This window comes from Homo sapiens, chromosome 9, assembly GCF_000001405.40.
Source record: "Homo sapiens chromosome 9, GRCh38.p14 Primary Assembly".
Taxonomy (NCBI): domain Eukaryota; kingdom Metazoa; phylum Chordata; class Mammalia; order Primates; family Hominidae; genus Homo; species Homo sapiens.
The window spans coordinates 122,524,229-122,537,094 of NC_000009.12; the positions used below are offsets into that span (position 1 = coordinate 122,524,229).

The 12,866-nt window shown below is 44.1% G+C and overlaps 2 protein-coding genes across 2 annotated transcripts in view; one reads left to right on the forward strand and one right to left on the reverse strand.

Moving 5' to 3' along the window:
• The window catches only part of OR1J2 (olfactory receptor family 1 subfamily J member 2), a 132,995-nt gene that overhangs the window by 76,796 nt on the left and 43,333 nt on the right, over nt 1–12,866 (forward strand). The window lies entirely within an intron of this gene.
• Nucleotides 2,130–3,065, reverse strand: OR1N1 (olfactory receptor family 1 subfamily N member 1). The gene has a single exon (NM_012363.1). The coding sequence runs from the start codon at nt 3,063–3,065 to the stop codon at nt 2,130–2,132; it is 936 nt and encodes a 311-aa protein (NP_036495.1).

Below are 12,866 nucleotides of genomic sequence, written 5' to 3' on the forward strand. Positions count from 1 at the left end.
CTGGGAGCATTAGTTATACCATATAGCTTAGCTGTATAGTAGGCCATCCCATCTAGGTTTGTGTAAGTGTACTTTATGATGTTTGCACAATGACAAAATTGCCCAGTGAAACATTTCTCAGAACATATGCACATAGTTAAGTAATGTATGACTGTATATCAAAGGAGGAATAAGTTTGGAACTTTGAATACATTGATAACTCTTGGCTGGCTGGAATCGAGGAATGTTAGACTATTGAACAGTGATAGGCAACAGTGTCCGTTGATGAATCTTTGTATGCTGAGTGCTGACCTAACTCCTAACGGCCACAGAATTATATTAAGTAAACTGAAGTGGACACCCAGTCACATCTTCTAGTTTGCTTGGGGCCTGTGAGAAAGAACTTAAACCATACCCAAACAGGATTCATAAATTTACCGCACTATCAGTGAGTGGATTGAGGGTCCCTGAGGATCAGAATGGTGAATGAAACCAGAAGGCGACATAGACACCATGAGTAAAGAAGGTAAAGTTGATTGGGTGAATCTGAGCAGCAGATTTAGGGTATCAGGGTGGACATAGGTTTCAGATATAGTGTGAGGCTGTATCTGGTGATCTCACACCTCAGGCTTCCTCATGTCCACTAGCTGTGTCATCAGGGGCCTTAGAGCTCTCCTAGGAGACCCTCTTCTGAAAGAGCTGATCATGAGAAGTGGAGGATAGTCCATTGCCAGTTCAAATGATAGAAGAAAGCTAGAGGTCAATGGCTTGGAGGAGACTGTCAGTGGTCTTTGGTCAGTGGAGCGATAGATGTCAACAGAATGGAAGGAGAGTTGTAGACTAAGGAGATGAGGGCAGGAGAACTCCAAGTTTGCAACCATCTCCAGCTCTGGTTACATGACGATGCCCTGCTCATCCCATTCAAGGACTCTCTGAGGGAACATCTGGAAAGGAGTTCTAGAGAGAAGAACAGACTTCCAGTTCCAGGTCATGAAATAAATGGAATCCTCGCGTACTAAGATGTGGCATCTAAATGATTCACATTTGTACTTACTAATAGCTGAAGCCTGGAACAGTTTGATTCCATGAAAGATGCTCCATAAGTATTCATTGAAAAAGTGCAGCAATCATAAAACATTTTAGAATAGGTTAGGTCTGAGAAACAAACTTAAATGAGGAAGGAGTTTAGGTAGCCAGTGGACACCTGGTGATACCAGATGTAAGAAATCAAAACTATATAGCCCTTATATTTAAAATAATATTTTTAATATTTCTAAGATTCTTGGAGACAGATAGAATGCCATTTACCTTCAAACATCATTTTTTCCATCTCTGCAACTAATTTAAGCTGCTGGTGCCCCTTTTAGATGTGGACGCAAACCTGCAGTCAAATAAGGAGAGAGGATTTCCACGTTCCTCTCATCTAATAGTCACTAAAAGGATGGTGGCATTGCACGTTTCTGACCAGCATGGGGCAGAGGTAGCACAAGGAGCTTTAACCCCCTTCCTAGTGAAACATTAGCCAACCGTGGGGTGGGCAACCCGCATGGAAACCTAAACATTGAATTTGAACCTTTTGATGGGGATCTCTTTAGCTATTCTGCAGCACATGGAATGCAGCCTCCATCTTTATTTCTTTTGTCTTACTCCCCACTTAATGCCACAAACAAAACAAGTGCCCCCAAAATTTTAATGATCGACAAATTAATAACCTAGAATGAAAGTGTCATGAAAGCAGGGACTTTGTCTTGCTCAGTGTCATAACCCTAGCACTTACAATAACTTCCAACACACCATAGATAGTAAATATTTATTGAACAAATATATCTCAGAGAAAAGATTTTTTGACTTCTGAGTTGGGGGAGGAATGAAGAATACTAATAGTAATAATAATAGCTATCCCTTATTGAACACCTACTGTTATTCACTACTATACTGAATGCATTTCATAGTTTATTTCAGTTAATCCTCCAAGTTACATTATTAGATAGAAACTGTTATCTCCATTTTATAAATGAGAAAACCAAGGCTCAGAGAGGCTAAGTAACCAGACTACAATCTTATGGCTAGTGTGTGGTAGACCCCAAAATGAAGCCCGTTTGTCTGACTCCAAGCCTATGTCTTTTCATTAAATGTTGCTGTCACCACATCTAAGAGGAAACAATACTCCTGTGACTGAAGAGCCTCTTTAGGGCCCCCTTCATGTCCTTGTTCCTTAGGCTATAGATAAAGGGGTTCAACATGGGAGTCACTATGGTGTACATTGCAGCTGCTGCAATGTCCTTCTCTTCAGAGGCAATGGAGGGAGGACACAGGTAGGCACTGAAGAGGGTCCCATAGAACACACAAACAACGCAGAGGTGGGAACTGCAGGTGGAAAAGGCCTTGCCCACCCCACCACGGGTTCGGACCCTCAGGATAGCTGGCACAATGTGGATGTAGGAGGTGACAATGCATAAAAAGGGGACGATGAGTACGGTGCCTCCCAAGACAAAAACCATCATCTCGTTGATGTGGGTGTCAGAACATGACAGCTTCAGGACAGGAGTGATGTCACAGAAAAAGTGAGCAATTTCCCCAGTCACACAGAAGGACAACCGAGCCATGAGGAACGTGTGAGTCAGGGCAACGATATTGGTGAGGACCCAGCACAATGCAAGCATTAGGGCACAGACTTGGGGCCTCATGACTGTGGAGTAGCAGAGGGGGTGGCAAATGGCCACATAGCGGTCATACGCCATGGCAGCCAGGAAGAAGCTGTCTAGATCACCAAACATCAGAAAGAAATACATTTGCGTGAGGCAACCCGTATAGGAGATGGTGTGATGCCGAGTCTGTATATTCACCAGCATCTTGGTAACTGTGGAGGACGTTAAACCCATGTCAACAAAAGACAGGTTGGCCAAGAAAAAGTACATGGGGGTGTGGAGGTGCAGGTCAGAGCCAATGGCCAGGATGATGAGCAGGTTCCCAGTCAAGGTGACAAGATACATACACAGGAAAATTCCGAAGAGGGACTGCTGTTGCTCTGGAGGCGCTGATATTCCTCGGAGGAAAAATTCAGAAATGCTGGATTGGTTTTCCATGACTCTGCAGCATCTGGAGCTGAGGGAAGACAGTTAGAATGCTAGATTTCATCTACAACTGTGTGGGCTGACTCCCAAATCTCCCTTTAAGTTCATTATATTCCTAATCCTGACTTTATCTTCATTCTGATCCTGCTTCTTTTCTCTCTTCATCAGAGTCTCATTTTCCCCCTTTCTCCTCTCTTTACCACTATTTAATCTTTTACACATAGAGTCCCCTTCCAATAAGGTCAGGGCATATTCTCCCTTGGCATGACCATGCCTTAGACTAGTCTATAGCCTCATGTTAGTTTCATTTTTGCAGTAGGCTGTCTATGTGAGTAGACTGAGGTCAGCTAAATTTTACATTCTTTTGGGAGGTAGCCAAAAAACCCACACAAAATTCTTAATTTTGACACATCCTCATTCATTTTAGAGTGAAGGGCATATGAAGGACTCATGCCTCTTTATTTTTTCATTATTTCTTTTGAAAAAGAAAATACGAAGTCCTGCATTTCTCCCTGCATTTGAGTTTTTGTCATTGGCATCATCATCATCCTGTAGCTAACGCATATTACATGTTAGCCACATATATGACAGGTACTCTACTAAGTACTTTATGAAGATTGTTTCCTTTAATCCTTAAACAACACTAGGATGCAGAGATTGTTATTCTTACCCTTATATAAGAAAACTGAGTCTAAGGATGTTTAAGTAAATTGTACAAGGACCCAGAGCTCATAAATATTTGAGACAGAATTCAAACCCACAGCAATGGTTTCCAGAGACTGTACCATCAGTCAATATAGATAGAAAGTAACTTTCTAGGACCACATTTATATTTAATCCCTCAGTATTCTTAGTTTAACGTATTTAGTCTCACTTGCCTTTACTATCTTTTATATGTGTGTTTTACAGAAGAACAACGAAATTTAAGAACTAGATAGAACCTGAAAGATCACCTGGCCCAGAGGTCTCAAGCATTGGTCTGTAGACCAGTTTATCATAATCAAGTGAGATGCTTATTTAAAATCCTGATCCCGGCTGGGCACAGTGGCTCATGCCTGTAATCCCAGCACTTTGGGAGACCGAGGCAGGCGGATCTACCTGAGGTCAGTAGTTCAAGACCAGCCTGACCAACATGACAAAACCCCATCTCTATTAAAAATACAAAAATTAGCCGGGTGTGGTGGCATGTGCCTGTAATCCCAGCTACTTGGTAGGCTGAGGCCGGAGAAGCACTTGAGCCTGGGAGTTGGAGGTTGCAGTGAGCCGAGATCATGCCATTGCACTCCAGCCTGGGCAATAGAGCAAGACTCCGTCTAAAATAAATAAATAAATAAAGATAAAAATAATAATCCCTACCTCAGACCTGTCAAATTTAAATTTCTAGGATACAATTTAGGTACCTGTATTTAAAAACTAAAACTGAAGGCTTCTCAGGTATTTTGATGCTCAGTGAGGATTAAGAAAATTTTGCTTAGTCCAACTCCTCCCTTTGATTCAGATAAATAAGCTAAAGTTCAAAAGACCAAAGTGATTGAAAAAGTTTACACTATGTCTTGGAGGAAGATACGGTATGAAAACCAGGGTATCAATGCTCTCAGACAGGTGTTCTTTTTAAAAATCAGCTATCTTTTCATTTTTAGAATTCTTTGTCATTAATATCTTACAGATCTAGATGTGTTTCTTTGTCCTGATTTATATTTAGAGTCTATACCTGAATAAAAAGTTATCTTCAAATTGATAGCTTTACTAAAGCACTGTTTGTATTCTGAAGTGGATAGCAACATCTGAGAACTATTGCGTATGTATCTATCCCTGAACCCTACACTGACTGAAGAACATCTCAGGGTTTTACAACTTTTCTGAGGGATCTGAGGCTACAGTCCAAGTTATTTTCTCCCCTACTTCAGCACTTGATAAGGCACCCTCTGACAGGGCACATTCTAATAGCCATGTCCAGAAGGGTAAGAGATCCTCTTATGATTCAGCTGATTGTTTGTCTCATCAAAAGAAGGGCTACACAGTGGCAGACAATGCCATATTTTCCTAGCATGCAGACCCTGCCTTCAGCAAGCAAGTCCTTTCATTGAGGTTTTCAAAGGGACAGTAAGTTATTTTAGGGAAGAGCAGCATCTTTTTGATCATTTGTGTTGGCATATACTGCCTTAATCAGGCTATTTCTATGGAGGTTCTTTGATCTAGGGCACCAACTGCTTAACATCAGAAAACTCCCCAAATCCTCAAAAAAGGGTCCAAAGCAGCCTAGCTTTTTACCTTCTGTCGTATTTTTTGGTCTCTACTCAAGCACTCTGCACCATCTCTTGCTCTATTTTTGGTTTTTCTCTTTCCCTAAAAGGGTTTCTCATCCTTCATCCTATCTATGGCCTCATAAAACTCTGTAGATCCTTGAGATATCAATGGGGTTCTTCCAGAAACTTGGGGCAATCCTTCCCTCTGTCATCCGAGGGTGATGAGGTCTCTTTACTTACCTCCAACTGCCTCTTCGTCTACTGTGTCAGCCAACAGGTAAGAGCTGGCTGGAACATGATGGACAGAGTATTCCAAACATAGGACATGCCCACCTGCGACTGTTTGTCTCAAGTGACTCTGCTTACCACTACCCTGGTAACAGAGAAGAAGGCAAAGTAGATGTTCTTAATTTGAGGGGAAGAGCTCAGATTCTTCCTGACAATCTTTGTGATGACATTAACTGAAATGAGGGTACAGGATCAAGAATAATGAATACAAATGGCAAACAGCTGGAAGCAGAAGTCAGGTTGATAAACCAAGATTAAAAATATATTTAAGGGGGTTAAGGGAGGGATGGAGAGACTAAGATTGTAGATAAGAAATCCATGAGATGAATAAAGGACTGTAAAGCCAAGTTAAGGCCAGATCAGTAGGGGAGGCTGGAGCAGTGGCAGTTACGTTCATCAGCTGGAACAGAAAAAATCAGAAGGAGGAGTATTTGAGATGACCTGGGACACATTGCACTGTGATCCCACCTAACCAAGATCTCTGGGACTTTTGAAGTTTTTTATGTTTACATTTTGAATCCTGAACCAATAAACTCAGAAACAGAGAGCTGCTGGCTCATCAGGCTACTGCCAGGAGGAGGCTAAACGTACTACACTTGGGGCATCTACAGATACAGGGAGTCATGGGACAGAGTTCCCTAGTGCCCTGTTAGTGTTAACTCTCATAATTGCCCAATTTTCTCTCTGCTTTTCTTAGATCAAATTAGTACAGTGCTGGCTTTATTTAAAAATTGGGAAGCTTTACTTTTTTCTCTATGAAAAGTGGTAGTGTTAGGATGCTATGGTATTTTTCATGCACGTCTGTGTGAAGAGACCACCAAACAGGCTTTGTGTGAGCAACAAGGCTGTTTATTTCACCTGGGTGCAGGCGGGCTGAGTCCGAAAAGAGAGTCAGCGAAGGGAGATAGGAGTGGGGCCGTTTTATAAGATTTGGGTAGGTAAAGGAAAAAGGGGTGTTGTTCTCTGGCGGGCAGGAGTGGGGGCCACAAGGTGCTCAATAGGGGAGCTTTTGAGCCAGGATGAGCCAGAAGGAATTTCACAAGATAATGTCATCAGTGAAGGCAGGAACAGGTCATTTTCACTTCTTTTGTGGTGGAATATCATCAGTTAAGGCAGGAACTGGCCATCCGGATGTGTACGCGCAGGTCACAGGGGATATGATGGCTTAGCTTAGGCTCAGAGGCCTGACATTCCTGTCTTCTTATATTAATAAGAAAAATAAAATGAAATAGTGGTAAAATGTTGGGATGGTGAAAATTTTTTGGGGGTGGTATGGAGAGATAATGGGCGATGTTTCTCAGGTCTGCTTCAAGCCGGATTAGGGGTGAGCGTGGGAACCTAGAGTGGGAGAGATTAAGCTGAAGGAAGATTTTGTGGTAAGGGGTGATATTGTGGGGTTGTTAGAAGAAACATTTGTCATTTAGAATTATTGGAAGGAGGTTCAGCATAGCCTTGCCAGCAAAGATTGTTTATTTACTTTAAGAGTTAAGAGTGGCGGTTTGGGGATAGCACCAGGAGATATCAGCTGTGATGGTTTGGAGAAACAGTGTAAACTGGCAGTGTAAACAAGAGCAGGGCGTGTATGAGTAGTTGAGAACGGTGAATAGGAGTATGACTAGACAGAAGATAGTAGGGATGGCAGGTTTTTTGGGGTACAGTCCAGGTTGGTCTGGTGTCTGGAATGAGACTGGGGCCTAATAAAAAGGAGCGTCTATACAGGAGCTCAAATGGGCTGTACCTTGTAGCATTCCAAGAACAGGCCTGAATTCTGAGAAGGGAAAGTGGTAAAAGTATTGTCCAGTCCTTTTTAAGTTGGTGGCTGAGCTTGATAAGGTGTGTTTTTAAAAGACCATTAGTCTGTTCTACCTTTCCTGAAGACTGAGGACCGTAAGGGATATAAAGGTTTCACTGAATACCAAGAGCCTGAAAAACTGCTTGGCTGATTTGACTGATAAAGGCTGGTTTGTTATCAGACTGTATAGAGGTGGGAAGGCCAAACCGAGGAATTATGTCTGACAGAAGGGAAGAAATGACCATGGTGGCCTTCTTAGAACCTGTGGGAAAGGCCTCTACCTATCCAGTGAAAGTGTCTACCTAGACCAAGAGGTATTTTAGTTTCCTGACTCGGGGCATGTTGAGTAAAGCTAATTTGCCAGTCCTGGGCGGAGGCAAATCCCTGAGCTTGATGTGTAGGGAAGGCAGGGGGCCTGAATAATCCCTGGGAAGTAGTAGAATAGCAAATTTGCCAGTCCTGGGTGGGAGCAAATCCCTGAGCTTGATGTGTAGGGAAGGCAGGGGGCCTGAATAATCCCTGGGAAGTAGTAGAATAGCAAATTTGCCAGTCCTGGGCGGGAGCAAATCCCTGAGCTTGATGTGTAGGGAAGGGAAGGGGCCTGAATAATCCCTGAGGAGTAGTAGAATAGCAGATGGAACACTGAGAAGTTATTTCCTTGAGGATAGATTTCCACGATGGAAAGGAAATGAGAGGTTCTAACAGGCGGGCTAGTGGCTTGTGCTATAGCATAGCCTGCCTTTGCTGGTGTGTGGCGATTAGGCCTGGTGGAACCGCCATCAATAAACCAAGTGTGATCAGGGTGAGAAACAGGGAAGAAGGAAATGTGGGGAAATGGGGTGAACGTCAGGTGGATCAGAGAGATGCAGTCATGAGGGTCAGATGTGGTATCAGGAATAATGTGGGAGGCCGGATTGAAGTCCGGGCCAGGAACAATGGTAATTGTGGGAGACTCAACAAAGAGTGAATACAGCTGAAGGAGCTGCGGAGCAGACTGTATATGCATCAGGTGTGAGGAAGAAAATAGATTTTGGAAATTATGAGAGCTGTAGAGAGTGAGTTGAGCATAGTTTGTGATTTTAAGGGCCTCTAAAAGTATTAGGGCGGCAGCAGCCGCTGCACGGAGACATGATGGTCAGCCTAAAACAGTAAGGTCAAGTTGTTTGGACAGAAAGGCTACAGGGTGCGGTCCCGGCTCTTTTGTAATAATTCTGACCGCACTAACCATGCCTAGGAAGGAAAGGAGTTGTTTTGTAAGGGATTGAGGTTTGGGAGATTAGTCGGACACGATCAGCAGGGAGAGCACGTGTGTTTTTATGAGAATTATGCCGAGATAGGTAACAGATGAGGATGAAATTTGGGCTTGACTGAAGTAAAGGGGGCTGTCTGTGAAGGCTTGCGGCAGTACAGCCCAGGTAATTTGCTGAGCCTAATGGGTGTCAGGGTCAGTCCAAGTGAAAGCGAAGAGAGGCCGGGATGAAGGGTGCAAAGGAATAGTAAAGAAAGCATGTTCGAGATCCAGAACAGAATAATGGGTTGTAGAGGGAGGTATTGAGGATAGGAGAGTATATGGGTTTGGCACCACAGGGTGGATAGGCAAAACAATTTGGTTGATAAGGTGCAGATCCTGAACTAACCTGTAAGTCTTGTCTGGTTTTAGGACAGGTAAAATGGGGGAATTTTAAGGAGAGTTTATAGGCTTTAAAAGGCCATGCTGTAACAGGCGAATGATAACAGGCTCTAATCCTTTTAAAGCATGCTGTGAGATGGGATATTGGCATTGAGTGGGGTAAGAGTGATTAGGTTTTAATGGGATGGTAAGTGGTGCATGATCGGTTGCTAAGGAGGGAGTAGAGGTGTCTTACACTTGTGGGTTAAGGTGGGGAGATAGAAGGGGAGGAAGTGAAGGAGGCTTTGAACTGGGGGAGAAGGCGGCAATGAGGTGTGGCTGTAGCCCAGGTGTAGTCAAGGAACAGATAATTTAGTTAAAGTGTCTCAGCCTAATAAGGGAACTGGGCAGGTGGGGATAATTAAAAAAGAGTGCATAAAAGAATGTTTTCTAAGTTGGCACCAGAGTTGGGGAGTTTTAAGGGGTTTAGAAGCCTGGTCGTCAATACCCACAACAGTTACAGAGGCAAGGGAAACAGGCCCTTGAAAAGAAGGTAATGTGGAGTGGGTAGCCTCCGTATTAAGAAGGGGACGGACTTACCCTCCACTCTGAGAGTTACCTGAAGCTCAGTGTCTGTGATGGTCTACAGGGCTTCTGAGGCGATCAGGCAGCGTCAGTGTTCAGCCGCTAAGCCGAGAAGATCTGGGAAGGAGTCAATCAGAGAGCCTTGGGCCAGAGTTCCAGGGGCTCTGGGAGTGGCTGCCAGGTGAGTTGAACAGTCTGATTTTCAGTGGGGTCCAGCACAGATGGGATGCAGCTTAGGAGGAATCATGGGCTGCCGGTATTCCGTGGCCTGGTGGCCAGATTTCTGGCACTTGTAGCAAGCTCCTGGGGGAGGCGGGCCTGGAGGAACACCTGTGCCCTGCGGTTTAGGCGTTTGGAAGTTCTTGTGTGCTGGAGATGTGGCTGGGGTTTGTCTCACAGTGGAGGCAAGGAATTGTATACCTTGAAGGGGAGGTTAATTAAGTCCTGTTGTGGGGTTTGAGGGCTGGAATTTAATTTTTGGAGTTTTATTTAATGTCAGGAGCAGATTGGGTAGTAAAATGTATATTGAGAATAAGATGGTTTTTTGACTTTTTAGGGTCTAGGACTGTAAAGCGTCTCAGTGTTGCAACCAAACGAGTCATGAACTGGACTGGGTATTAATATTTGATGAAAAAGAGCCTAAATGCTATCTGATTTGGGATAAAGAAAAAGAGCATTAACCTTGACTATGCCTTTAGCTCCAGCCACCTTTTTAAGAGGATATTGCTGGGCAGGTGGGGGAGGGCTAGTCACCGAACGAAACTGTAAGCCGGACTGGGTGTGAGGAGGGGAGGTGATAAAAGGATTATAGGGTGGAGGAGCGGAGGCTGAGGAATAATTGGGACCTAGCTCGGCCTGGCGAGGAGGGGAGAGGTCAGATGGGTCTGTAGAAAAGGAAGATTAGAAGGACTCAGCGATGCTTGGGGTTGGGACTGAGGGGACAGGTGGGAGGGAAAGAAGGAAGATTTCGGACGATTTGCATTGGGAACAGAGACTAGGGAGGAACTGATGTGTAAAAGAATGCCTGGACGTCAGGCACCTCAGACCATTTGCCCATTTTATGACAAGAATTATTTAGATCTTGTAGGATGGAAAAAGTGAAAGTGCCATTTTCTGGCTATTTGGAACCACTGTCGAGTTTGTATTGGGGTCAAGCGGCATTGTAGAATAAAATAAGGCATTTAGGTTTTAGGTCAGGTGTGAGTTGAAGAGGTTTTAGGTTTTTAAGAACACAGGCTAAGGGAGAAGAAGGGGGAATGGAGGGTGGAAGCTTGCCCATAGTGAAGGAGGCAAGCCTAGAGAAAAGAGAGAGTAGAGACATGGAGAGAAGGGATGGGGGGTTCTTGCCCTCCAGAAAAGCAGGAAAGGGGTTGGGGCATGGAAATAAAGGGTCGGGGTGCAGAAATAAGAGGTCGGGGCATGGAAATAAGGGATCGGGGTGCAGAGATAAGAGGTTGGGGTTCCTGCCCCTCCCCCAGAAAAGCAGGACTTGCCACTAAGGGTAAAGGACCAAGGCCGGCGTCCCTGCGTGGTCTGACACCTCTGAAACCTGGGTGAATAATCAGAGAGGTGTCCCTGCAATGATTAAACACCAAGGGAAGGCTGCCTTCCCTAGTCTGTGACAGGCACCGGAGTTTTGGGTCCACGGATAAAACATGTCTCCTTTGTTTCTACCAGAAAATGAAAGGAATTGAAATTAAGAGAAGGGAGAGATTGAAGTGTGGCGCCAAGATTGAAAGGAGAAAGAGGTTAAGGGATAGTGAGTGAGGTTGGAGAAGAGAGTAAAAAGAGGCCGCTTACCGGATTTGAAATTGGTGAGATGTTTCTTGGGCTGCTGGGTCTGAGGACCTGAGGTCGTAGGTGGATCTTTCTCACGGAGCAAAAAGCAGGAGGACAGGGGATCTCCCAAGGGAGGTCCCCTGATCCGAGTCATGGCACCAAATTTCATGTGCGTCCGTGTGAAGAGACCACCAAACAGGCTTCATGTGAGCAACAAGGCTGTTTATTTCACCTGGGTGCAGGTGGGCTGAGTCGGAAAAGGGAGTCAGCAAAGGGAGATAGGGGTGGGGCCGTTTTTATAAGATTTGGGTAGGTAAAGGAAAAAGGGGTGTTGTTCTCTGGCGGGCAGGAGTGGGGGTCACAAGGTGCTCAGTAGGGGAGCTTTTGAGCCAGGATGAGCCAGGAGAAGGAATTTCACAAGATAATGTCATCAGTGAAGGCAGGAACAGGCCATTTTCACTTCTTTTGTGGTGGAATGTCATCAGTTAAGGCAGGAACCAGCCATCTGGATGTGTACGTGCAGGTCACAGGGGATATGATGGCTTAGCTTGGGCTCAGAGGCCTGACAGTATTAGTATTGATTTGTAACCACAGTCAATGGCAAAAATGAACTTTCTGTGTAAATGCATCTCCTTGCTGCCCCCTTACAACAAGGTTCCTGCTCCTAACTTCCTCTAAAAACAAAACAAACAAACAAAAAACTCACAAGCTGCCAATATCCACCTTTAAAAACAGTTCAATGGCATATGACTTATCTTTAAAGAATTCTTATGCTTCTGGTTAATGATGTCATACTAAACTCATGCATCTAATTTCACTCCCTCCATAAACTCTACTAAAATAAAAAAGACATAAAACCCAAAAGGACAGAGAAGAGAGGCAAACAAATAATAACAACAAAGTTTGGAAACTGGAAACCAGATGGATGCACCAGCGATGACCAACACTGCCCTCAGCTTGACCAAACTTTAGATAGATATCTTCCCGACTATAGGCCCCTGGCTTCCCTTTTCTTTACATTTGCATTCGAGAACTGACAATTGTAATTTTTTTCTGGGCTCTTTTGAGATGTAAATATTCTCCCAGACTCTTGATAGTTTTATAGCCCAGGAATGTCTTTCTCAAGGACCTGGGAGCTATCTCTTGGAAATGTGATCAAGAAAGATTAGATAGGTTCCAGTTTCATTCTTCTGTGTGTGGATAGCCAGTTTTGCCAGCACCATTTATTGAATAGGGTATCCTTTCCCCATTTATTTTTGTTGACTTTGTCAAAGATCAGTTGGTTGTTAAGTATGTGGCTTTATTTCCGGGTTCTCTATTCTGTTCCACTGATCTATATGTCTATTTTTGTAATAGTACCATGCTGTTTTCATTACTATAATCTCATAGTATAGTTTGAAGTCAGGTAATGTGATGCTTCTGTAGCAGGACAAGCCACAGATAAAACCTCTCAGACACCAAGTTGTAGAAGGAAGGGCTTTATTCAGCTGGGAGCATCAGCAAGCTACTGCCTT